This window comes from Homo sapiens, chromosome 12 (assembly GCF_000001405.40).
Source record: "Homo sapiens chromosome 12, GRCh38.p14 Primary Assembly".
Lineage (NCBI taxonomy): Eukaryota > Metazoa > Chordata > Mammalia > Primates > Hominidae > Homo > Homo sapiens.
The window spans coordinates 11,537,971-11,565,396 of NC_000012.12; the positions used below are offsets into that span (position 1 = coordinate 11,537,971).

General features: G+C 42.5%; 2 long non-coding RNA genes and 1 pseudogene across 2 annotated transcripts, besides 1 other annotated feature; 2 read left to right on the forward strand and 1 right to left on the reverse strand.

The window, feature by feature from the left end:
- Positions 1–3,423: 3,423 nt before the first annotated feature.
- LOC124902877 (uncharacterized) lies at positions 3,424–18,233 on the reverse strand. The gene is made up of 3 exons (XR_007063210.1): positions 18,146–18,233; positions 17,813–18,002; positions 3,424–3,556 (listed from the first exon to the last, which is right to left on the reverse strand). It is a non-coding gene; the product is annotated as an uncharacterized LOC124902877 (long non-coding RNA).
- Positions 6,536–6,595: an enhancer, noted in NCBI's record as "active region_5964". NCBI's record gives its function as "activates an Ori minimal core promoter by ATAC-STARR-seq in GM12878 lymphoblastoid cells {active_cell/tissue: GM12878}" and the evidence as "EXISTENCE:reporter gene assay evidence [ECO:0000049][PMID:35858748]".
- Positions 8,508–8,567, forward strand: RNU7-60P (RNA, U7 small nuclear 60 pseudogene; annotated as a pseudogene).
- On the forward strand, positions 10,060–26,433 carry LINC01252 (long intergenic non-protein coding RNA 1252). The gene is made up of 8 exons (NR_033890.1): positions 10,060–10,390; positions 11,620–11,751; positions 14,610–14,723; positions 15,596–15,712; positions 15,879–16,100; positions 17,285–19,246; positions 21,321–21,412; positions 25,731–26,433. It is a non-coding gene; the product is annotated as a long intergenic non-protein coding RNA 1252 (long non-coding RNA).
- Positions 26,434–27,426: the final 993 nt, after the last annotated feature.

Genomic DNA, 27,426 nt, shown 5'->3' on the forward strand with positions numbered 1-27,426 from the left:
TGCTGGAGAATATATAATGGTATGTGTTCGTGATACAGCATGGAGAAAAATCAGTATACAAAACCTGCGGTGTTTAAAAGTGTTTGTCCATGTGTGCGTGTGTATCATTTTTTTTAGGAAGAGACTCCAGAATATTAGCACTGCTTACATCCAAATAGTAGAATGGGGGGGATTTATCTATCTCTTTGCCAATCTATTTTTTTTTTAGTTTAGTTTTTTTTTTTTAAGCATTAACACGTAGTATTATTGTAATTCAAAACAAAAATTTTTGGAAAATGTATGGGGTCCCGGTGGATCAATAGTTTCTCCCATTTCAGATGTACACTGTTCTCCTCCCCACAGAGCTGACCCCCATGTGGGTCGGTGTGGGGAGACCCCACAGAGCTGGGGTAAAGGAGAATCACTTGCTCTCGCTCCCCTGAGCCTTACTAAAGCAGCACTTGAGGACTGTTCACAGATCAGCCCCTCCCATCAGGGTGAGGCAGGGACGGGAGGGGACCTGCTCCATCACTCCATGGTCAGGCTTGGCCCTTTAGCAGAAGGCCAAAAAGAGCTCCCCTGCTAAAGAGGGAAGGGAGGAGTCGCCAGGAGCTAGACGAGCTCCTCTGTGAGTGCTCCCAGGCACCCGGCTCCCCTCTGCAGTGCCTGTCAAAACACCCATTGCACTCATATCATCTGGTTATGTGTCTGTTTCCCTGGCTTGTTGAGGGCACGGGGCAAGCACTCAATAACTGTGGTGACAGGGACATTGTTGTGTCTCCTCATCCTGGACCTGAGGACAGGAAAGCTTTCCCTGGAGCACACTGAAGAGCCCAGTGATGTCCCCTCCCATCTCCTCTATCGGTGGAGCATCAGCTCTGCGATCACTGAAGTCTTTCAGGCTCTCGCTTCCTCTGATTCCACCTCGCAGCCAGTAAATGTCCACACCAAGGAGGATATGAAAGTACAAGACATAGCCCTGGTCCTTCCATCGAGGAAGTCAAGGAATGCATGCAGGACGACAACTAGTACTTGCAAGGCACTTCTTATGCGCCAGGTGAAATGCACATACAATTGACCATTTTAAAGTGAACAATCAGTGGCATTTTGTACATTCACAGTGTTGTGCAACCACTCCCTTTACATAGTTCCCAAACATTTTCATCAACCCAAAATGAAACCTTGCACCCATGAAGCAGCCACTTCCCATTCTCCCCTCCACTCGGCCCCTGGAAACCACCAATCTGCTTTCTGTTTCCATAGATTTACCTATTCTGGATATTTCATATAAATTGAATTACATAATATGTGACCTGTGTCTGGCTTCTTTCACTTCACATAATGCTTTTGCGGTTTAACCACATGGTGCCATGCATCAGTTCTGCATTCCTTTTTCTGGCTGCGTAATACTCCATTGTTTGTACATACCACAATTTGTTTATCCATTTATCCATCTATGGACACAATACATTTCAAGGACACTTGAAATATATTAACTCATTGAATTCTCTCCACAGAGACAGATGCAGTATTTTCCATAAATTTATAAAGTAGAAACTGAGGCACAAGTCACATGCCTAAGATCACATAGCTATTAAGCAGAATAAGGACTCCAGCCCAGATAGCCCAGTACCAAAGGTCTTCCTGGTAACCACTACTCTCTACTATCTCACAGAGAACAACCCCAAATAGCACAACATGGGGGCTAAGCTGTCTAGTGGAGCTTCAAATGCTGTGTGTTTCAGAGAATGGGGAGGTCCCTGGGCTGTCACGGAAGCTTCCTGGAGAAGCAGGATCATGTAAAATCTAACTTGGGGCAGGTCAGGGTGATGTGAGTGACCAACTCACTCAGAACACAGCCATTCATGGGTGTTCAGTAAAACTGGCTCTAGAACCAGCGATGACTTCAGCTCAAGGATCCCACAAGGGAAAGTGCTTGTCTTTCCCTGCACAGCATACAGCTCTTTCGGCAGAGTTCTGGACCCAAGCTTCTTTCAAATACGTTACAAACAGCAAAAGAAGCTGGCTGTTCCTTCTGTCTGTCTGCATCTGTCTAATGGTTTAGAGAGTGGGACATTTCCATCCTCCTTTCTCCGAGCATCCTTGAAAGCCTTCCCAAAAAGCAATGCACTTTGGAGAAATGTAATGCTGGAGAGGAAAGTGGTGTTCAGGAGAGGGGAGTCTGTTCCAGGAACTGGTACACAAGAGCTAGAGGTTGGGTGGGGTAGGGAACTTCTCAAACTAAGTTCTCGGCCTTGTTTCCAGTGTTCTTCCTGTAGATCAGGGCTGAGGACACCCTGCTGCATGCTCTTCATCCCTTCACCAGAATTCCTAAAGTCCATACTCATGGATCCTGGGAAATCAAGAAGGCCAGGGGATGCTGGCAAGCCTAGGCAAGACTGCCCGGGGCCAACCCTGCAGCCTTCATTCCCCAGGCCCACTCAGCCCAGCTGGCCAGCAAAGGCAGTCATGGCCTCCATGTCCACACATGAGAATGACCTGCAGCTGTTCTTTGTCTAGGCTGGGGTCAAGGATTCCCACTGCAGCTTGAGGGGTGAGGATAAAAGTCTACAATCCAGCTCCTAGGAAATCTTTAAAATTTAGGTCTGGGATGAGCCTGTCGGTAGTACATTAGGTAGAGAACTTTTATGAAGTTAAGGGTAAACTGGCTGGGCTGGGTCTAGAACTGGGAATGGTGCCTAGCAGCACATTTTTGAGAACATGCAGCCAGGTTTGGTATGTCATGGAGTGTGTGTGTGTGCACGCACGTGAGTGTGTGAGTGTGTGTGTGTGAGAGTGTGTGTGTGAGAGAGAGTGTATGTGAGAGATTGCATGTGTCATGTGTGAGTGTGTGATGTGTATGAGTGTGTGTGGGAGTGTGTGTGCATGTGTGAGTGTTGAATGAGTGTGTGAGTGTGAGTGTGAGTGTGAGCGTGTGAGCATGTGTGAGTGTGTGTGAGTGTGTGAGTGTGTGCATGTGTTGAATGTGTGTGTGAGTGTGTGTGAGTGAGTGAGTGTGAGAGTGTGTGTGAGAGAGAGAGTGTGTGCGTGTGTCTTTGGATACACAGACATCCTGGAGCATATGCACATTTCCTTTCTCGTTCAAATAAACCCTACAGATAACAAAGCGCTTTAACATCCGGTCTCTGCAGCCTTCCAGAGGAGGCAAGGCAAGCACTATTAAGCCCACTACAAACAAATCAGCTGAAGCCCCCCTCAGTGTCTTGCCCAGGGTCACAGGAAGAATGAGTGGCAGAGCCCCGAGCCTGTGTGCTCCCTTCTGTGCCGGGCTGCTTCTCCTGGGCATGGCTGTGCCTTGTGCATGGGACATTTCTCCTTTGATGTGCCCTGGGTGCCTTAAGCAACTTAGATATTGCTCAGGTAGGGTGAGGGGAAAATGTATTTTCAGGTTGTATTATTCAAAACAAAATAATATAGACTAAATGACTTTGAAAACATATTTATTTCTTACAATACTGGAGGTTTGAAGTCCAAGTTCAAAGTGTCAGCTAGATTGGTTCCTGGTGAGGGCTCTCCTCCTGGTTTGCAGGCAGCCACTTTCTCTTTGCATCCTCACCTGGTGGAAGAGAGAGACAGTGTTCTCTTTTCTTACCAGATCCATCATGAGGGCCCCACCCCATGACTTCATGTAACCCTAATTACCTACCAAAGGCCCATCTCCAAATACCAAACACATTGGTTGTTAAGCTTCGACAAAGGAATTTGGGGAGGACACAAACATTCGTCTACAGCATGGGTGGAAACCCATTTCTTCCTCACCGTCTGTATGGATTGCACGCTGCAGCCATCGAGACAGTGGGCATGTTCTCCTTACAACTCGATCTGACTCCCCTAGAAGAGGGGGCAGGGAAGGAGGGCAAAGCTGGGAGAGATGAAGAATATTAAGAAGAGAATAGGGTAGCCAGATTTAGCAAATAAAAATATAAAATGCCTAGTTCTGAATTTAAAATATAAAATGCCTAATTCTGAATTTCAGATAAAGAACAAATAATTTTTTAGTGTAAGTATGTCCCAAACTAAGCATGGCAAAGGACATGTTTATGCTAAAAAATTATGTATTATATAATAATAAATTATTATTATTTTCTGCAAGTCACATTAACTGGGCATCCTGTATTTTTATCTGGCAACCCTAAAAGAGAAGGGCCAAAAACTGTTGAGAAAAGTCAGTGGATTCCAGGAGGGACTATTGCTGGATTTCTGGACTGATGCTCGCTTTATAATACTTAACTGTTTTTAGCCCCTTCCCTCCCTCTCTCCCTCCCTCCCTTCCTTCTTTTCTTTCTTTCTTTCTTTCTTTCTTTCTTTCTTTCTTTCTTTCTTTCTTTCTTTCTTTCTTTCAGATAAGCTCTCACTCTCTCACTGAGGTTGGAGTGTAGTGGCACAATCTCAGCTCACTGTGGCCTCAACCTCCCAGGATCATGTGATCCTCCCACCTTAGCCTCCTGAGTAGCTGGGATTGCAGGTGTGCACTACCATGCCCAGCTAATTTGTGTATTTTTTGTAGAGATGGGGTCTCACTATGTTGTTGAGGCTGGTCTTGAACTCCTGGGCTCGAGCAATCTGCCTGTCTCAGCTTCCTAAAGTACCCAGATTACAGGCATTAACCACCACACTCAGAAACTTCTATTTTTAAAAGCCATGGTCTCTTTAGGTGTTCTCTATCACTCTAAGTCAAAACTATTCCTTAAACATACAGGGCTCGAAGTGTTGATCTCCTGGAGAGCCTGGTCACCTCCAAGCCATAGGGCTTACAGTAGGCTGTCTTCAAACAAGCAAGGAAGTAATAGGCTTTCTACCGCAACTCAGATCTAGGTTTCAGGACTCATTCTAGGGACAGCTGCAACTGCCAAGTAGACTATGAGGAAACTTTCTCAGTGTTCTAGAAAAAAAAAAATGGAGGAGAAGGTGGGGAGGGGGAAGGAGAAAGAGAGTTAAAACAAAACAAAGAGAAAGACGGAGAAAATTAATGATTATATCAGGCCTCTCCCAACTCCCTCCTCTTTCCCTGGAGCACAGGACTAAATGTTAAGAAGAGAAGGATGAGATTTCTACCATAACTGAGGAAAACTACAAAACATGAGAGTCTGAAGAGACAATAAGGAAGATAGAGGCCAATCCTGTAATTTTTCAGATGAAGAAAGTAAGGCCCAGGGAGAAGAAATTACTGTATTCAGATCACACAGTTATAAGGATTCGAGCCAATACTGGATCTTAACCCAGTGTTTACTATTCTGTGCAGTGTTCCATTATTCGTGGATTGCTAACAATGAAAGAAAGCATAGAAATGATATAGTTCAACCTCCTTATTTTAAAATAAGAAAAGATATATTGAGAGAGGTCAAATAATTTGCTCAAAGTCACAGTTGGCTTTTTGCTACCAATCCAAGCTTCTTTTCCCTAGTCTTTGCATATACACACAACAATGTTTTGAATAATTTCAAAATTATTTCAAAAATTAACCCAGAGTAAATGTACTTATTCAGGAAAGTAGTGGAAATAGGAAATATAGCAAACATAAAAACACCTCACCCCTATGACTCAATTTATACTGGTCCATGAACAGTTAACAGTTTTCAACACTTAACACTTCTCTTCCCGTGCTAGCTGGCAGCCAGAGTTATTCTGCAAAACTGTGTTTCCAAGTCCTCAAGAGGAATACATGTGTAAGTGTGCTTTAAATTTGCAAATGTTTTATCTTTGAGATCCTTAAACAGTAACACTATTAATCTTCATCTTCAAGCTGCTAAGTTTGTTATGATATGTTTATACGTGTGTGTGTGTGTGTGTGTGTGTGTGTCTACGCAGAACTTTTTTTGGCTGGTCATGTGACTCCTAGAACTGTATCCTTCCATCCACTATGCATTTCCCTATGTAAATAATATTAGCTTTCACTGGTGATGGCAACAAGACAGAAGGAATGAGGTCAAGGAGGAAATAAATTTGGATAGAAAGAAGCCGTCAAAACCCTGTGAATAAAATTCACAAGCGAGTTTCGGTGACTCATAAGAGCACAGAGAGGAGACACAGGGATTATTCAGGAGCAGGTTCCTGTAGGGTAGCAGGAGCTGCACAGCAGGAGTGTGGAGGGGCACAGGTCAGCACCAGGATGCACCAAGGGCACCTGGGAAGTGCTGAGGGCCAGGCCACACTTAACTCGGGTCTGTGCCCTGCAGTGGGAAGAAGCCTCAGAGTATTTTCATCCTGCGAATCTCCTCTGTGCAAGAAAAGACCAGTTGATGTCCTTGAAAACTTTCCTATTTGACCAGTTCATTCTTATTTCAAAATTTTATATTATTATATTTTTTAGAGACAGGGTCTCGCTATGTTGCCCAGGCTGGACTCGAACTCCTGAGCTCAGTGAGACTCCCACCTCAGCCTCCTGAGTTGCTACCATGCCCAGCTTGCCCAGTTCATTTTTAATGAGGCCAAACACATTGGTCATGCAGCTCACAAACAAAAGGGAATGTCTGTAGTTCTGGTCAGTCACAAACTCATTGTACTTTACAGAGAAAACTCCATGCAGAATGTTGAAATATCATCCTCTAAAGGTTGACTCTAAGTATACAGAAGCAGTGTAGGGGCACAGACAGCTCAGTTGAGCACTCAGCACATCAAACAAGAAAGCATGTGGTGGTTTCCCTCTACCCAGAGCAGGGTCTGATACGGAGGAGCAAGCCTGGACTTTGTCCTTGGGCAAATTGCCCCATTAGGGGAGGAAGGAGCCCACTCTCCAGACTTTCTGGTTTGAAGCAGTACCTGGGTCTGAGCAGAGTGAGGAACACTTCCTGCTACAGCCAAACTAGACTAGCCTGGGCCCTGAGATCCATGACCTCACATGTGCCTTTTTCTCCAGGCACACTGGAAAGCTTAGTCCCCCCGCCCCCGTGACTGTCTGTTCCCGAGATAGTCCCTTTGCATGGAGAATCCGTGCCCATCCCACCCACCCCCACACCATAAAAAGTCAATGTTAGAAGGTTTGAATGGATTTAGTGATCATGCACTCCAACCCTGCCTATCTGTTCATCAAAGTCCACTTCAAATACCACTTTATAAAGACATTGTGGTTCTTCTGTCTCCCAATTCATTATTACTTTGGTGCTCTGTTATGGTATACATCACATTCAGTCTTGTATTAGAGTTGTTTGTGTACATATTTTCTGCCCTCACTCCAAGGCCAGCTTAAAACTTATAAATCTTAAAATATTTTGGCCTCCTAAAAATTAAACAGTATCATTCATAGTTTCCACTATTAAATATTTTATGCTTTTGGAATAAAATATGTCATTCTTCACCCCCTCTCCCAAAAACCCCAAAACTTTGTTCCTCTGCTTTTCTAGTTTCCCGTGTGCTGCTTAGTGGGTTTTCCAGCAGCCCTGGTCCCAAGCACATGAGGGACTGTTAGCATTTTCAAGACAAAAGTATCCTTAACTCCTCTTCATGAGCCTGCGAAGATTAAACACGGAGCTCAGAACACAGTATGAACACAATAGATGTATGATGAAATGAATAGGGCTAGCATTAACTAATGAGAGCTCCTCAATGATGAGCAAGAAGAAGGTGAAATCATGCCATCCAAGGCTTCCCAGTGCCCCTGGAGACCACACAGCCCCTTTACACAGGAAATGACGTGATTCCTGATAAGCAAGCAGTACACACTGCACAGCTTCCTTCCCTTCCTCCCCCTGCCACTCAGCACCTTTGGCAAATAGCGGCCTGCCTTCAGCCTTCATTAGGAAAGCCTTCATTAGGCCTGCCTTCTTCTCTTCATTCATGAGAGAGTGGCATTAACAGTGCACAAACTAATGCTTCTTCAAATTTTTCTGGGGTCTGCTGCTGCTACTGCTAAAATCCGCTTGCCTTCGGACACAGTTTCTCAAATGGCTTAAAAGCTTCTCTGCTTTTGATCCCTGCAGCATCACTTTCTACTCCCTCAATCAGAAACCAGAAGCTACCCACCCCCATTTCCTGTGTTCATGATAGTAGAAAGCAACAGAGAACAGTTGGCCCCTGAGCTGCCAGGTTGTGGGCTGGGTAGGGAGGATCCATTGCAGGAGCATTGGAAAGCCTTGAGCACTCTGCCCTGCCTGTCCACACAGCAGCACCTTCACAGCCTTCTAGTAGTTCTGATCAGATTTCTGCCTCTTAAAGCGGCCCCACAGACTAAAAGCCATCATCTGGAATTTGGAGTAAAAGGGCCCACAGGAAATGAAGCACTCTAAGAAAATTCAGCTGGGCAGGTATTTTAAGGTCACTGACTGACTCCAAAGTGAAGGTAGAACCCATATTGACCGCAATTCATCACACTTCTGTAACTTCAGAACTCACTGCTGACTGGTGGAGAAGGTTGCAATTGCATTCAGTCCGAATCTCTGAACATATTATTTAGAAATATTAGCTTATCCAGCTGCCTACGGAGCTTCCCATCTGGGCTTTCAGTTGCTACATTCTCTAAAGCCGTATCTGACCCACACCTTACTAACACTATGTGCTTCTACAGCATTCACCCAGTGTTACAGCTCTTTTAGAATCTGTCTAGCAGGTTTTCCAGTCTTCACTGGAAAGCCCTTGCCCCCAAATATAAAAAAATAATAAGGCATTCACCCCTGAACTTTAGCAGGGCTTCCAATCGCCTTTAAGCACTCATTTAAAAGAAAAGTCTTTTATTCCCTTATAATAGTATTAAATCATTAGCAAATGATTCTCAAAACTATTTTTTGAGTGCTCTCTTCTGTGTGAGAATGTAGGAAATGATGACCAAGTATACGAAGTTGGACATGCCTAGTCCCAGGTGGCCTTTTCCTATTGGCACAGCTGCTGGCATTCACCCGTGCAAGCTTCTAGCTTGCTTGTCTATGTCTGCAGCTTGATTTTACAGGCTGCTCATTGTAAGAAAAGAAAACGATTTGAGGGCTGCTTTTCATTAAAAGGAAAACCTTACTGAGGACTTCCTTACCCTCACTATCTGCCTAAATAATTTCTTCTTAACTCCTATATCACTTATAAGAGGAGAAAGCAGACACACAGGGGGAACTCAGTGTGACAGCACAGGCGGAGCCTGGAGGGATGCCCAGGAATGCCAAAGAGACGCACAGACTGGTTTCTCTCTCACAGCCCCCAGAAAAACCTAACCCTGCCAGTGAGAGGTGACAGCGTGCTGGCAGTCCTCACAGCCCTGCTCGCTCTCGGCGCCTCCTCTGCCTGGGCTCCCACTTTGGCGGCACTTGAGGAGCCCTTTAGCCCACCGCTGCACTGTGGGAGCCCCTTGCTGGGCTGGCCAAGGCCGGAGCCGGCTCCCTCAGCTTGCAGGGAGGTGTGGAGGGAGAGGCGCGGGCGGGAACAGGGGCTGCGCGCGGTGCTTCCGGGCCAGCGCGAGTTCCGGGTGGGCGTGGGCTCGGCGGACCCAGCACTCGGAGCGGCAGGCCGGCCCCACCAGCCCGAGCAGTGAAGGGCTTATCACCTGGGCCAGCAGCTGCTGTGCTCAATTTCTCGCCAGGCTTTAGCTGCCTTCCCGCGGGGCAGGGCTCGGGACCTGCAGCCCGCCATGCCTGAGCCTCCCCCACCTCCGTGGGCTCCTGTGCAGCCGGAGTCTCCCCGACAAGCGCCACCCCCTGCTCCGCGGAGCCCAGTCCCATCGACCACCCAAGGGCTGAGGAGTGCAGGCACACGGCACCGCACTGGCAGGCAGCTCCACCTGCAGCCCCGGTGGGGGATCCACTGGGTGAAGCCAGCTGGGCTCCTGAGTCTGGTGGGGACGTGGAGAACCTTTATGTGTAGCTCAGGGATTGTAAATACACCAATGGGCACTCTGTATCTAGCTCAAGGTTTGTAAACACACCAATCAGCACCCTGTGTCTAGCTCAGGGTTTGTGAATGCACCAATGGACACTCTGTATCTTGCTACTCTGGTGGGGACTTGGAGAACCTTTGTGTGGACACTCGGTATCTAGCTAGTTTGGTGGGGACGTGGAGAACCTTTGTGTCTAGCTCAGGGATTGTAAACGCACCAATCAGCGCCCTGTCAAAACAGACCATTGGCTCTACCAATCAGCAGGATGTGGGTTGGGCCAGATAAGAGAATATAAGCAGGCTGCCCGAGCCAGCAGTGGCAACGCGCTCGGGTCCCCTTCCACACTGTGGAGGCTTTGTCCTTTCGCTCTTTGCAATAACTCTTGCTACTGCTCACTCTTTGGGTTCACACTGCCTTTATGAGCTGTAACACTCACCGCGAAGGTCTGCAGCTTCACTCCTGAAGCCAGCGAGACCACGAACCCACCAGAAGGAAGAAACTCCAAACACATCTGAACATCAGAAGGAACAAACTCCGGACACGCCGCCTTTAAGAACTGTAACACTCACGCGAGGGTCCGCGGCTTCATTCTTGAAGTCGGTGAGACCAAGAACCCACCGATTCCGGACACACCAGCACCCGGATCTCAGACCTCTGGCCTCCGGAACTGTGAGAGAGTAACTTTCTGCTGTTTTAAGATACCCAGCTTGTGGTCATTTATTACAGCAGCCCTAGCAAACGAACCCAGTGTGGTTTGCAACTTCAGTTATAGCATCTACCATCAGCCCAATTCAAAAGACCATTTATTTAATCAGCAACGTTTCCCCCGTCACTCCTTATGGGGCAGTATCCACTGTAGGCTACTGATTCTACTTAGTGCTTTAAGTCAGCGTTGCCAGAATCATACTGAAACACATACCTGGGGCTTCTAGGGCATCTCCTAGTCAGCCTTGTCAAAATCAACAGTTTTGAAAATACGCTCTATGGCAGTCCTGAATTCCACAGGGGTGGAATTCAGAGCCGCTCTCCTCTTGTTTGTCGTATTTTATAAAATGGATATTTAATTCTGTTTCACTATTTGCTTTCATTACTAAAATTTCCCAAAATACATGAAAATAGAGGGTACTCGAAAAACCCAACTTTAAATAAAATAACCGTGAGTATTCTGCCATACTTGTTTCTGTGTTAATATAAGAATTTATTTGAAGAGTTCTGCTATAATGTTTTTAAATACTGGTTTCAATAACTCTCTTCCAATACAGATTACACTTTGTTAGCTCCAATAATTGCTGCATGGTGAATTTAGTCTATTGAAAAGGAAGTGTCAGGTCTGAGTGCCAATTATTGTACTTGACCCAAGGTAACTCTCTTTCAAGGTACTGCGTTGGGTTCCCACTGAATTATTTTACCACATTCGAAATCCTTCATCAGAAATTCAATGTCTTTTATTATGATACATGAAATGATCTAATAAATCTCACTGCACACTGTTACTTTGATTTCTCCAATGAACCACACCTCTCAGAATGCACGCCCTTGTATAGTCCCCTCTCATGGTGACAGCAGGCTTAGCCTTGTGACTAGCTTTGACAATGGGGATATTAGCAAGCATGATGCAAGTGGATTCTGATAAGCTTGATGCTGTATTTATTTGCTTTGGCTGCCATAATAAATGATCACAAACTGGGTATCTTAAAACAGCTCCTTTTTCAGATGTTTCTCCACATTCTTCCAAGGCAAAAAGAAAAGAAAAAGAAATACACACAGACACATACATATATGTTTCAGTTCAATAAGTTTTTGTTGTGTTTTGTTTTGTTTTGTTTCAGACAGAGTCTTGCTCTGTCGCCCAGGCTGGAGTGATGAGGCGCGATCATCACTCCACCTGGGCTCACTGCACCTCCGCCTCCCGGGTTCAAGCGATTCTCCTGCTTCAGCCTCCTGAGCAGCTGGGATTACAGGTGAGTGCCACCATGCCCAGCTAATTTTTGTATTTTTCTTAGTAGAGACAGGGTTTCACCATTGTTCGTCAGGCTGGTCTCGAACTCCTGACCTCATGATCCACCCACCTCGGCCTCCCAAAGTGCTGGGATTACAGGCGTGAGCCACCGCGCCCAGCCTCAATAAGTATTTATTAAGTGTATAACACATGGCAGAAACTGTGCTAGATACTGAAACTATAATGGCAAAAATCAATTCCTGTCCTCTGAATTGGTTACCTAGTAGAGAAGACAGACATGTAAACAAATATAGTGGAGAGTGACATAGGCAATAATAAAACTATGTATAAGAAATCCAATTAGTATGGATAATTAACAACTAATGGTTGGAAAGAAGTGTCAAAAAAAGCTTCTTAGATACAGTGACACCTGAGCAGGATTTCTAAGGGTGCACTGGGGAAAGAGGTTCATAAATCAAGGGAGCATCATACTGAAATGGTAGTGATGGAACATGGTATATGCAGACAACTACAAAAATTCACTTCTACTGATAGTCCAAGGGAGGAAGGCATGAATATGAGAATGGAGGTATGGACAGAGGCCAGGTCAGGGTAAGTTAGAGAGCTTACTTAACCTTGTAGAAAATGACGAGCCATTGGAGACTTTAAAGAGAAATAACATAGTCATATTCTTGTTGTGAAAGATCATCTGGGCTGCTATGTGCAGGACAGATTACCAGGAACAAAACCAGAAGCACCTGTTCAAGCCTGAATTCTAGTCACAGAAGTAAAGCTGAAGAGGAGAAAATGGATGTGAGCAATATCCAAAAGGGAAAATAATAATATACACATAAGGAATAGGGAAGAGAAGAGCAAAAATAATTTCCTATTTCGCCTTCCCTTCTTTTGGAGTTGGAACACTCAAATGGTGTGATGGGTGGCACTGGGGCTAAGGGGACAAGGCTGGCCCAGCTGGGAGATTGCTTACATGCAGGAGGATCAAGTGAATGAGTCAACGTATCAAGGAGACTGGGAATGCAATTTCTCACTGTTGAAGAAAGGAGTTACAAATATGCAAAGGGGAAAATGTGATACTGGATTGGAATTGAAGGCATTAGTCCGAAGTTATGGATTTTAAAGATAGGAATGTGACAGATGATAGATAGGTAGGGATAGACAGGTAAATTGAGAAGTAGAAATGTATGAATGTGTTATATTTCCTAGTCCAGGAGCAATGACACCCCAGTTGCAATGAGCATCCTAGCATTTAGATCTCAGTTTCTAAATACCTTTTTCCACTAAAAGGAACCAGGGCTGGGGCAGGGAAAGAACAAGATGACCCTGGAACTCTATTGTACTGAAAGTAAGGAAGCCCTCAGATAATTATGAGGACATGTCTAAAGGACACAGGAGTGGCTCACGCCTGTAATCCCAGCACTTTGGGAGGCCAAGGCGGGTGGATCACAAGGTCAGGAGATCCAGACCATCCTGGGTAACACGGTGAAGTCCCATCTCTACTGACAATACAAAAAAATTAGCCAGGTGTGGTGGCGGGCGCCTGTAGTCCCAGCTACTCGGGAGGCTGAGACAGGACAATAGCGTGAACCCAGGAGGTGGAGCTTGCAGTGAGCCGAGATCACACCATTGTGCTCCAGCCTGGGCAATAGAGTGAGACTTCCTCTCAAAATAAATAAATAAATAAATAAACACAGGAGCCAACTTCATGGGGCTCCAGTTGTCCACATCTAGGTCATTTTGTGGATCAAAATAAAAAATGATAGTAACTGATTATAATTCATTGAAAAATCAAATCTCATGAATCCATACTTATATAATACATGAATGAATAAATATGAGAGAGAAGAGAGAGCTCTAACTTATAGTAAATGCCAACTAATCAATGTAAATATAATTATGGAATTAGAAAATTGTTATTATTTTGAGACAGGGTCTTGCTCTGTCACCCAGGTTGGAGTGCAGTGGTGCAGTCACAGTTCACTGCAGCCTCAACCTGCTGGGCTCAAGCAATTCTCCCACCTCAGCCTCCCAAGTAGCTGGGACTTCAGGCGTGTGCCACCACACGGCTATTTTTGTATTTTTTGTAGAAATGAGGTTTCATCATGTTGCCCAGGCTGGTCTCAACTCCTGGGCTCAAACAATCCACCTCAGCCTCCCAAAGTGCTGGGATAATAGGCATGAGCCACCACACCCAGCCAGAAAATTATTATTTTGCAACCATTATAGTTATAACTAATTTAGATAGAATCATCATTGGATGGAAAAGCTAGTAGGTGAAAATTTGATGAGGAAATGGATACAATCTCAAAGTATCTCCCCCAAAATATTTAGTGCTTATTAGTAGTTTAGAAATACAAATTACTTACTAGTTAGCTCTATAGCATAGAAACCTAGCCAATATCATCTTAATCGAGTGCTAACATATAATGTTGTCTATAAACAGGATAAATCTATATTAAGTTACTCTAACAAACTGAGAAAACACAGCATCATTTCTGTGAACGTCCTGCCAAAAACGCACCACCCAAATCTGACAATAAGGTAACATCAGACAAACCCAAACTGAGGGACATTCTACGAAGTAATTAGCCTGTTCTCTTTAAAAACACCCAGGTTATGAAAAACAAGGAAAGAATGAGAAAATGTTCCTGATTAAGGGAGACTAACAGAGATATAATGACTAAACACAACACATGATCCTGGGTTGGATTCTGGAATTATAAAGAACGTTATTGTAAAATTGGTGAAATCTGAATGGAGTCTACGGATTGTGGCTTTATTACATCAATGTTAAATTCCTGATCTTTTTCATTTCTTTTTCCTTTCTCTTTTTTTTTTTTTTTTTTTTTTTTTTTGAAACAGAGTCCCTGTCATCCAGACTGGAGTGCAGTGGTACAATCCCGGCTCACTGCAACCTCCACCTCCTGGGTTCAAGCGATTCTCCTGTCTCAGCCTCTCAAGTACCTGGAATTACAGGCATGTGCCACCGCACCCCATGTAATGTCCCGATCTTGATGGATGCACTCTGGTTATAGAAATGTCCTCATTTTAAGGAAATACATGCCAAAGTAGTAAAGGCTCATGGGGCATCATATTTGCAACTGTTCTCACCTGGTTCAGAAAAATTTAAGAGCAATAATACGTATAAATGTGTAGATAGAATAAGAAGACAAACATGGTAAAATGTTAACAACTGGGGAATCCGGATGAAAGGTGTACGGAAGCTCTTGTGCTACTACACCTGCAACTTTTCCATAAGTTTGAAATTGTTTCAAAATGAAAAAAATGTACAAGTATCCTAGAAAATGCAAACTCATCCAAAGTGACGGAAAGCAGGTCACTGGTTGTCTGAGTGGGATGGGCCAGAGGAGAGAGGAGTCAGGATTACGAAGGGGGCACAACAAGGAAACTTGGTGGGGAGGATATGAATATCCTTTTTTTTTTTTTGCTTTTTTAGAGACAGGGTCATGCTCTGTCACCCAGCTCATAGCTCACTGCATCCTCAAACTCCAGGGCCCACGGGATCTTCCTGCCAAGCAACTGGGACTACAGGCTCAGCCCACCATGCCTGGCTGTTTTTTTTCTTTTGGTGGAGATGAGGTCTCACTATGTTGCCTGGGGCTGGTCTTGAACTCCTGGTCTCAAGGAAATCCTCCCACTTATGACTCCCAAAGCACTGGGATTACAGGCGTGAGCCACCTTGCCCAGCCATGTTCATTATCTTGATTGTGTCAGTTGCCTCTTTGGTGTAAAATAGGTCGAAATTTACTATGTTGTACACTTTAAAAATCTATTAATAGGTTAAATAACATGAAATAATTGTTTTTTAATTCCTAATATTTGCCTAGGGAATACAACCAACCTCTTCATCACATGAAGACATTTTTTTCATGCTTTTCCATGTTCCTGAAATGCCCTCCCCTAGGAGCTTCCTCCAATTTATCTACTCTTTCACATTCAAGAAGGTAATGGAGTTCCATCTTCCTCCATTAACTCCCCCATACTGAAATCTGCTATATCTTTCATTCATTTGAATCTTATTGTTACAGTACATACGATGGAAATCTATAATATTTTTATTGCTATAGTTATCATTTCAGTTGTTATGTTTTCTGCTTATTTTTGTATCAGAGTTGAATCAAGATGTTTAAGTCTCTGGAGAGTTAAGTATTTTGTAGGAGGAAGAATATCAAGGTTGTGGAAAAAAAAAAAAAAAAACCTTGTTGTGGCTGAGAAACTGGGCTGGAGTCAGGAGGCTGGTGATGGCCCCAGTTCTACCACTAACTAGCCATGTGCCTACGATGCTTCATTTCACCTCTTGAGATCTAAATTTCCCCGTACGTCAAAGCAAAGGTGAGGTCAATGTCATCTATGAAATGTTCTTGACTTTCAAATTATTTGAGTAGTGGCCGCTAGATGGAACCCGTGAACCCATATCCATACATGAGCATTTCAAGGAGAGGTGGTGCTGAAGCAGGAAGCCAAAAAGCCAGGGTGACAGATTATCCTGTGCTTCGTGCAACAAGGATAGTCTGTAGGAACAACAACAAGAGAAGTTGTCTCTCTCAGACAATGGTGTCCTAGCCTAGACATGTGGGCTAGGAAATTAGTGATCAGAGGAAATCAGACCAAAGCCAAAGTCAGAGACATTTTCTGTTCTCCTCTTCACTAAACCCCAAGGCTCTTTAGCATGAAGTATGCAGACCCTGTGTGATTTTCTGTGTTATCTAAAGTAAAACTTATTAGAGTTCCACGTATTTTTAACCAAATATGTTTAATGAACGTTGTTCTGAGAGAAAGGGGATTCCAGTCGCTTCTGTCAGAGGCATTCAAGGATATGGAGAGAAATAGCTTTTTAGAATTTGAAAATAAAATTTCTATGAAATTGGTCAAAATGGATGAGAAGGAAAAAACCTCTCAAGCGGTAAGTAGGTAGAAAAACGATCGCTTTGTGCCATTTTTATATGTTAACAAATTATGTTAACATTTATTGAACACATCAAACCCTGCAGTATAACTGATTCTTCAATAAGTGTATACAAGTCACACATAGAATGAGTGGCATGCTGGGTGCTCCCTGAATAATCCTTTTCTTTTACCAGTTAAGTTTCCTGCTGAATATTTCGAAACTCTTTGCAAACTGACTTCAGCACCTCTGTGGGATATTCCCTTCCACTGCCAACCCTTAGTTGTCAGAAACTCTGTCTTTGGGAAGCATGCTACATTTTCTAGAACAAATCTAGATACTTTAGAAATGATGGATGATGATGATGATGATGAATGATGACAACACTCTGATGCAATTCATATATCACAACATTATCCAGATCCAACAAACACTGAGAAAATGGTGTTTTGCAGCAATTTTAATTCCTTTATTTCTCAAACATCTTTGTCAATAGTCATTTTTAATGTTATGTTATAGATGATGGAACAATCTTAGAGATGTTAAGTAACTGGTACTAATAATACAGATGGCAAAGACAGAATTCAAAATCTGGAGCTCTTGATTTATTTTACTTTATTTTATTTTTTAGAGACAGATCTCGCTTTGTCGCCTGTCAACGGCTAGAGTGCAGTAGCGTGATCATAGCTTACTGCAGCCTCGAACTCCTGAGCTCAAGCAACCCTCCCTCCTCAGCCTTCCCAGGTCTCCTGATTTCAAGTACAGTTCTTGCCAACACACAGTGGTAAAGGGTATGATTACCTAAGCCTTAGCACAGAAGGTAGCACCCCTTACTGGTGAGCTATCATGAAACTATGCGACAATTTTCTCCATCTTTTTTAGAGTTGTTTTCCTTGTCTTCCTCCTCATCACGATTATTATTGCTTTTTCATTCAGCAAAAAATCTGGTAGGAGACTGCACAGAAGCATGATCACTTGCTATCAACAGTGTAACCCTACCTAACTTCCCTAATCCCTAGCAAATGAAGGAAAAATCATATACAGGCACTGACAAATAGCAACACAAGAAAGGGCAACAAAATTACTAAAGAGTAACGCCATCCTCCCCAACTCAAACCAGGGAAAGTAAGCTTGCCTAGGAACTTAGGCTGAAACTCACCACAGTGCCAAAAACCTGTTTTCTTGAAAAGAGGTAGTGCAGATAGTGAATCCACTGAGCCACATAGGGTGGGAGTTTGCTTTAAGTGCTTTTCTTCTTGCCCACAAACTAGCGTAGGCTGTGACTGGCTCCAGCTGATCCTTATCAAGGCAGCTAGTTCTGAGGGCTTGGTTAAGAAGCTCTTCGTTTACTTAAGGGAGCAAAGAGAAGACACGTGAATTGGAAAAGGATATCTAAAATGTCCCCTAAGGCTTCATAAAGTTGACATCTTTCGTCATGACTTCTACAGTTCAGGAAACCAGGTAGCAGTAAACAATTATGAACTCTACTCACTCGCCCTATCACTTTCACATCAAACTGGGGGTACTGTCCTTTGAACAGAAGACTCATGAGGAAAGCGCAGATTCCTTCCAGGTGGGAAGAAAGCTTTGTCCCTGCTCCATGTCTGCTGATCTGCAGGAAGCAGAGAGAGCAGGGCTGTTCGACTCCGTTTCCCTAATGATGTCCCAGCCTCTTTCAGTTCTGTGAGCAAAACCAAGGCTGGGTTTGTTAGCACAGCCTGTGACAGAGCCTGGGCAGGTCCTTGTATTCTGGCAAAGGCTGAACCAAAGAGCAGTCTCATTGCACTATTTACTTTCTTTTTGTTATACTCTCTCTGGCTCAGCACAATCAGTGCAGTCCGATGCTGCAGAAGACAGACTGTTCCCTCTCTCTTCCCACAGTGTTTCTCGTCTACCTTTTGCCCTTATTCAATAGTGGGAAGAAATTTCTTCTTGACCTCAGCAATCCTTTCTGACAATTACCATATGCCTCAAGAGACCTGGGAAGCTTCGCCCTGTCTGGCACAGGGAGACAATTCCTATCCAGAATAAAACTGAAAGCTTTCAAAAAAAAAAAAAAAAGAAGAAGAAGAAAAGAAAGAAAGAAAGAAAGAGAAAAAGAAAGAAAGGAAAGAAAGAAAGACTGTAATAAGTTACCTTGTCTCTGGGAGATTCTGTAACAATGAATTGCACAGGCTAATTATCCCCTCTATTAAAAAGTTTTTAAAAGGTTCCTCTTCATCATTTAGAGTATGTTGCCTTGGCACCGGCCTGGAGAGGGTTAGCACAGGAGCCAGGCTGAGTTTAATTAAAGAATTTCCGTGTGTCAGCAGCAGGAGACTTTGATTAAAGTGAGAAGCAGCCAAGATTCCGGGAAGCGCGTCTTTCTCCTGTCTCCTCCCCAAGATGTGCGGGTGTCCTTCCCCCAACACCATGGAAGAAGGGGTCCAGGAAGAAAATGTCACACTTGCCTGTGACCCCCACCTGGTCTGCAGAAAGGCAGAGAAGACCTGCTTATGGAGGAAAAAGACGGCCTCTGTCTGGAGCTTCTATGAATTACATAACGAATAAGTGATTTCACTACAAAGCAGTGAAATTTTTAAAAGTTAACCAGGTAGCCCTTTTTTATTCTAATTCATAGAAAATACTTTTATTTGTTGAGTTAGCTACAAGGTTTTACTTGCTTAATTTTTGTAAAGTTGTTTATTTTGTGAATAAGAAACTTATGGTCCAAGGGTATATAGTGAAAAGTCAGTCTTCCTTCCATCTCATTGCCCTGGCCACCCAGTTACAATTTTCTTGTATACCCTTGCAAATATATTTTACTCCTTTATAGGCTTAAGTGTCTGTGTGTGTGTGTCTCTCTGTGTGGTGTGTGTGTGTGTGTGTGTGTGTGTGTATTTATTATCTGAAATTCAAATTTACTTATGTATCCTATGTTTGATCTGGCAACCCTATACTAGCTGTAACCCTGTACTAAGCCCTCTCAGAGGGCACAGATAGGAGCTACATATATTAACCCATATATATACACATATCTATTATGATTTATATATATGGTTAAATATGAGTTCATACTCATATTTCTGACTCTAATCCAGTATCACAGGGTTCCTTCTAGCCTTCTGCCTTTGCTTATCTATAACTTCTCTCTCCAACAGTGAAAAACCTGACCCCCACTATCCACTTTTATTTCCTTATTTGCCCATTATTACTTAACGGTGCATGTAAAGCTGTTTCAGCATAGGTAATACCGCCCCACCCCAACCCGATGAGAAAGAGACTTGCCAGTTGGAACACAGTGCTTATGTCCAGTTCCTTTGGCCTTTAGCCTTACAATTATAAGTCAAAGCAGCACCTGCAAGATTATTTTGGTTTGCACCTTTTCCCAACCCCTTCAGGGATGTTATGTGTACAGTTACATTCATTCATGAAAGTCTGCAGTCCCCACCATCCTGGTTGATATTTTTTTGATTGTATACATTAGCGTTCCCTCTTTGTGATGTACAGTTCTATGGATTTTGACAAATGCAGAGCCATTTATCCACAACTCAGTATCATACAGAATTGTTCCTACCCCCCACCCCCTCCCCACCTCTGCCTTTTGGAGACAGAATCTTTCTCTGCCACCCAGGTCGGAATGCAGTGGTGCGATCATAGCTCACTGCAGTCTCAAACTCCTGGGCTCAAGCAATACTTTTACCTCAACCTCCTGAGTAACTGGGACTACAGGTATGTGCACACATGCCCAGCTAATTTTTTTACTTTTTGTAAACATGGGATCTTGCTATTTTTCCCAGGCTGGTCTTGAACTCCTGGCTCAAGCGATCCTCCCACCTCGGCCTCCCAAAGTGCTGGGATTATAGGTGTGTGCCACCACACCCAGCCCAGAACAGTTCTGTCACCCTAAAAATTCCCCCCATGAATTATCTCTGCAGTTAATGTACAGTTAATCTACCCTCTTCCTACTGCCACCAACCCCTGGCATCTGTTTTCCATCCCCATAGTGTAGCTGCTTCTAAAATGTCATATGAATGGATTTATACAATGTGTGCACCCTTTGGAGTCTGGCTTCCTTCAATTAGCAAAATTCACGTAAGACTGACCCACATCATTGTGTGAATCAAGAGTTTATTCTTTTTTTCACAGCAGAATAGTACTCCATTATATGAATGTACCATGGCCAGGAATTGTGGCTCATGCCTGTAATTCCAACTGTTTGGGAGGCCAAGGTGGGAGGATCGCTTGAGCCCAGGAGCTTGAGACCAGCCTGGGCAACATAGGAGACCCCGTCTCCATGAAAAAAAAAAAAAAAATTAAAAAAAACATTAGCCAAGCATGGTGGTGCATACCTGTAGTCCCAGCTACTCTGAAGGCTGAGATGGAAGGATCGCTTGAGCCCAGGAGTTTGAAGCTGCAGTGAGCTATGAACATGCCACTACCCTCCAGCCTGGGCAAGAAAGTGAGACCCTATCTCAAAACAAAGCAAAACAAAAATTACCACAATTTTTTTATCCACTCACCTGTGGAAAGACATTTTGGTTGCTTCTAGATTTTGGAGATTATGAATAAAGTTGCTATAAACATTTGCATACAGGTTTTTGTGTGAACGTGAGCTTTCAGTTTACTTAGGTAAAGATCTAGGAATATGATTGTTGGGAAGTTTTGTGTTTTTGTCTTTCCTACAGTGGCAGAAGTGTCAGGACAGTCTGCACGGGCAAGAATGATACCTAAATCACTACTCAGGCACAGGAGAGAGCAGGACTGGCATGGCTGGCAGGTATGGACCTCCATGAACCCCATTAAACAGGAAGGGGCAATAAGCAACCTTCTGGTTTAAGAGTCACAAAGTTAATCTTCCAGGTGAGGGTCACCTTGCTAAAGATAATACATAAACAAAGTCACATGTCTTGAATCACAGTTACCACTCTGGAGGAAACATAGCAATTTAACATAACATTGCCAACATTGCCTATTCTGCTTCCCTTTCTAGGCACCTGATTAGTGGAGGTGGCAGAGCAGGAATCTGATTCAGAGTTTAGTTTGCTCTAATAATTTAAATAATATTTTAGAAATTTCCCAGTCATAATGTAGCCTTGGGCAAAGGGGTGAGAAGCCTCTAGTCTTATGATGGTCCTTGACCTATGCTGGTTGGCATCAGCTTCTCTCTAGAGTGATGAGCCTTGCTCACTTGGTCACCAGTCCTCTGTAAGGATCTGATGCTGAGATCTGTGGCTGGTGAGCTTGTGATCTGTTCTTTTACAGATGAGGAAACTGCAGCCTAGAGAGTTTGAGTGACTTGCTTAACATTTCTCTGAGGAAATTTAACAGTACTCAAGGTCTCTCCTAAGGAAAATAGTAGTTGAGTGTGGGAGAAGGTGGAAATAACGTGTTTCCATGAGATAAGCAAGAAGAGCAAAGACTAGTTGGAGAAGATGGATAATTGATTGAATATCATAGAGAGTCCTGGAAAGAATGGTAAATGTCAACCAATTCAAATAGTTTTAACAGATGAAGAAACAAGACCAGAGAGGTTACATGCCTTATCCAGGGTCACACAGATAGTCAATGTCAGAGAGAGAACTTAGACTCCTGGTTTCTCACTCGTAGCGCTTAACTTTTCTCATTTCTCACTGTAAAAACATCTCAAATAGTCTGCCCTTTATTTAAAAAGAGATGAAGTGAGCATCTGTAGAAGCCCAGAAGGTTTTAGAACATAAAGCAGATAGAAGATCAATTTCCTCTCTGACAATGATTCCTTGCAAAGAGTTGGGATTATTTTGGTTCAATTAAAATTACTATGCTCCTTTTATGAGAAATATATTAAGAAAGGAGATAAATTGGTACCACATGAGTAAAAAAAAAATTGGTGCTTTTCCTCCATCTGTTCATTCTTTTGTGGGAAGACACAAACACCCGGTTCCTACTGACTGATAATCATGAAAAGTGCTAAATAAGAAGTATAAAAGGGATTGAGAATTTAAGGAAAAGAGAATTTAAGAATATTTTGCAGGCATTAGATCCTTGTTAAAAATCTATATTCTTGACTTTAAAAGGACTTTACTAGTTGGAAATGATGAAAATCATTGAAAAGGATTCTAATTAAAGATACGTCTGTCTTACAGAAGATTTTAAAATAGATTAGCTTAATTATGGCCAAATGTATTTATTTCTACCCTTTAATATTGATACTGTGGTTTTTGTTTAATGTCTGTACACAGCTTTTACGTTGTATAGTCTATTTATATCCTATAGATCTACCTCTATGGTTTTCTTTCTTTTTTTGGTGGGGGGAGAGTATCCTCCTTTGTCACCCAAGCTGGAATGCAGTGGCTCAATCATTACCCACTGTAACCTCAAACTCCTGGGCTCAAGTGATCCTCCCACCTCAGCCTCCTGAGTAGCTGTGACTACAGGTGTGCATCACTATACACTCAGCTAGGTTTTTAAATGTTTCGTAGAGACAGAGTCCAGCTATGTTGCCCAGCCTGGTCTCAAACTGCTGGCCTCAAGCAATCCTCTCGCCTTGGCCTCCCAAAGTGCTGGGATTACAGCACTGTGTGAGTCACAGTGCCCAGCCTACCTCTGTGGTTTTCTTGAGGATGATTTTATCTTCCCATTGAAATCTTTCTCATGTCTTGCTTCACCTAATTTAGTGACTTTATGTAATCATTAGGTTAATCATCATCTCATCTAAGGTGACCAGCAAGCCCTGAAGAAGTGGAAAATGAAAGAACATGGTCTCAACATTTAAAAACCTAACACATTTAATGTATTCATTAAAATATGTGTTGGTGCATTCCCTCAGCCAGACATATTTATTGAGAAAATATTAGGGACTAACTGTTATGCTAGAAATTGAAAATATCCTAATAATAGACCTTAAAAGTCTACTAAGAAAGGCTTACCAAGAAAACAAAATAAGAGACTGATGTCTAATATAAGAAATATGGTCAAGGAATGTAAAACATGGTTGGGAGTCAAGGAATGCTTCTTAAAATAAAGGGAAAAAGCCTTCAATTTTGAGTTATATTCTTCATCTTCAATGTGACTTCCAAGATTCATTGGTTTGTTTTCACTAAGAAAATAGTTACTTAGTAACTATAGACACTATTTGGGCCATTAAAAAAAGTAAACACTAGATTGCATGTTTTGGTTTTGGATGGTGAAGCATGTCTCAGAATGTAAACCTATTTTCTTCACTTTTCATTGCTCTGTGGGATGACAAACTTTAATGAACAGATGAGACTCATTGGAAACTAGTTATTGTCTATGGCCATACCACTCTGAATGTGCTGGATCTTGTCTGAAAACTAATAATTAATGAGTAGAGAAACAGGGGTGCTGTTAAGGTGTTTAAAAATCCTTAAAAGCCCTCACATAAGTCAAACATGCCCCTAGTCATTTTGTTTATGCTATGAATTCACCTGGCAAATTGTTTCATACGTAATTCAGAGGTAAGTTTCAGATCAGCTTATGTAGAAACAATTGCAAATGAATGGAACTGAATTTCTGAGGTTTTATTTTGTTTTACTTTTTGAGACAGACTCTCGCTCTGTTGCCCAGGCTCGGCTTACTGCAAGCTCTGCCTCCTGGGTTCAAGCGATTCTCCTGCCTCAACCTCCCGAGTAGCTGGGATTACAGGTGCGTGCCACCACACCCGGCTAATTTTTGTGCTTTTAGTAGAGACGGAGTTTCACCACGTTGGCCAGGCTGGTCTCAAACTCCTGACCTCAAGTGATCCGCCTGCCTCGGCCTCTCAAAGTTATGGGATTACATAGTTACAGGCATGACCCACTGCACCTGGCCTGAAATTTTATTTTAAATAGAAAGATATTAATAGCATTTGGTATCCCATCTTTGTTCATATTCGGTCTCGCATGCTGTACATCAACCAAAATGTGTTGTGTAATTTGTTCATTTTTATTTCTGGTCATATATACTCACTCTAACTTTTGATGATACAAATAACAAAGCTTTTTCTTCTTCAAATTAGAGAGAAAAAGGAAAAAATTATCAAAGATAAAAGGGCCCCAGGAAAAACACCAAAATATTAATAATGGTTACCTCGAACTGTGAGACTATGGGCGATTTTACTGTTTTGTATAATTTTTGTATTTCCCAAGTGCTCTATAGTTAGCACACCTTGCTTCTTTAAGAAAACTTGAAATAAAATTATAAAATACTTGAATGCATCATTCTAGTAGATTTAGCCTAAAATGTTAATTTTAAGAGCATAGTACTTAAGGAGTAGCGAGGGCATGGTGGCTCATGCCTGTAATCCCAGCCAGCACTTTGGGAGGATGAGGTGGGAGGATTGCTTGAGGCCAGGAGCTTGAGACCAGCCTGGGCAACATAGCAAAACCCCATCTCTACAAAATTGTACAAAATTAGCCAGGCATAGTGTTGTACACTTGTACTCCCAACTACTTGGGAGACTGAGGTGAGAGTATCCTCCAGTGCAGTTGGAGCCCAGGAGTTTGAGGCTGCAGTGAGCTATGATCATGCCACTGAACTCTTGCCTGGGTGACAAAATGAGACCCTGTCAAAAAGAAAAAAAAAAAAAGAGAGAAGCTGAGTCATAATGGCAGAGCACTGTGTCGAGAGCCACAAATGTCCACTCTTAAAGAGCAAGATAATGGACTGATAGAGCTGCTTCTTATCAGAATAGCTGGGCTCAGGGAGACCTGTGTGTCCCGTTCCTCAGCTTGTGGCTGATGACATTATTTTATTCTGTTCCTGCTTTCATATGTTCTTACAACATTAACCATAAACTGAGGCAACTTCAAGATGTATCTGTTCCTTGCAACCTAAAAGAAGCTGCCTGGCATAAACAAATGTATAGGTTATATAATAAAATCAAAACTAACAACAACAAAACACTGATAAATAGTCTAGAAGGTACATTTTGTCTGTGTTTTAAATTATTTTCTAAGGATTGGGTACTGGACTTAAAATGGACAGACCAAAGAGATAAGAACTTTTCTAATCCTGCCAAAGAGTTTTTCATAAATTGCTTTGATTACTATTTAGTGGATTGTTATTTTGGTATGATTTTTTATTTTTTAATTTCTTATTTTGTGAATTTTCTATTTCAGTTCTCTATGTAGCAGGCGCTGTACTTTGGCCAAGCCAATCTCCATTTGCAACATGTTTCTCCCTTACTTGACTCCACTATAGAGAGAGTAAAAGCTAAATTTTGATGTTCCACCCCCACCCCCTTATTGATATGAGAAATAAGTCTTCTGGTGCATTCCTCTCCAATTTCTGTCTTCTTTCCACTTGAGCTGCCAGGAGATGCAACAGTCGTTTTGAAACCAAAAAGATAAAAACTGCATACTAAGAATGCATGAACCTAAAGATTTACAGAGCCTGGGACACTGGGGATACTTGGAGTCAATGTATCAGCCTTGGACTGATTCCCATGGGACTTCTTATTACCCAAGTGAAACAGTCCTTCCTTTCATCTGTTAAGCCACTATGGTATGTTTTGCTGGTTCTCGTAGCCAAATACAGTTTTGACTGCTATACCCATTTTTTTCTTATGGATGTTCATGACTTCTTTTATATTGTGGATTGTATTGTGAATATGTATCTTATTTGTTGCAAATATTTTCTCAGTCTTTTTGTCCTTTAATTTAAGATATTATTCAATGCTTGTAAGGTTTTTATGTTTATGCTGTTATATATATCCATTTTTTCTGATTTATTCAATTGAAAAATTGAGAAACGTAATTGATAATTTTGAACATTATCGAAGAAGACATCAATAAAACAAAACATAGTCTAGCAATTACAAAACAGAAAAACAGCAATGAAGTTTTGTTTGGTTTGGTTTGGTTTTTTGAGACAGGGTCTTGCTCTGTTGCCCAGGCTGGAGATCAGTGGCGTGAACACAGCTCACTGCAACCTTGACCTCCTGGGATCAAGCTATCCTCCCGCTTCGGCCTCCCGTGTAGCCAGGCCTACAGGCGTGAGCCATGACACCTGGCTAATTTTTAAACTTTTTGTAGAAATGGAGATCTCATGTTGCCAAAGCTGATCTTAAATTCCTGGGCTCAAGTAGTCCTCCCGCCTCAGCCTCCCAAACTGCTAGGGCTTCAGGTATGAGCCACCATACCCAGACACAGTGAAATATAAAAATATATATTACATATAATGTATTATAGTAAAATATGTAACAATAATAATAATGAAAATGGGTTGAACTTCTTAAACTTCGCTATTAAAAGACAGTGGTTCTCAAGCTGGTTAAATACACACCCTTGCACTTACAAGCATATACACACACAGTCTATGTAGGTTATAAAACATACTCAAACCAAAATAAGCATAAACATTGAAAGCAAAATGATAAGCAAAGATATACCAAGAAATTAAAATAAAAAGAAAGCAGGAATTAACATCTGACAAAGTATAACTTAAGGTAGAAAATGAAAAGTAGGGTAAAAATCTCCACTTTATTGATAAAGCTGTGCTGTAGTATGAGTTGTGTAATTTTATTCATAAACACTAGATAAATATATAGAGAACAAAACACAACAGAAAGACAAGAAGAAAATTACAGAAACTAATTGTATTGGGAAGTTTTAACACATTTTACTCTTTGGCAGGCAAAATAAGTAATACCTAAATGTAGAGACAGCTGAGTAATATAATTCCGGGGTCCCCAGTACCCAGGCCATGGACCAGTACCTGTTGATGGCCTGTTAGGAACTGGGCCACACAGCAGAAGGTGGCAGGGGGTGGTGAGTGAGCATTACCGCCTGATCTCTGCCTCCTGTCAGATCAGCA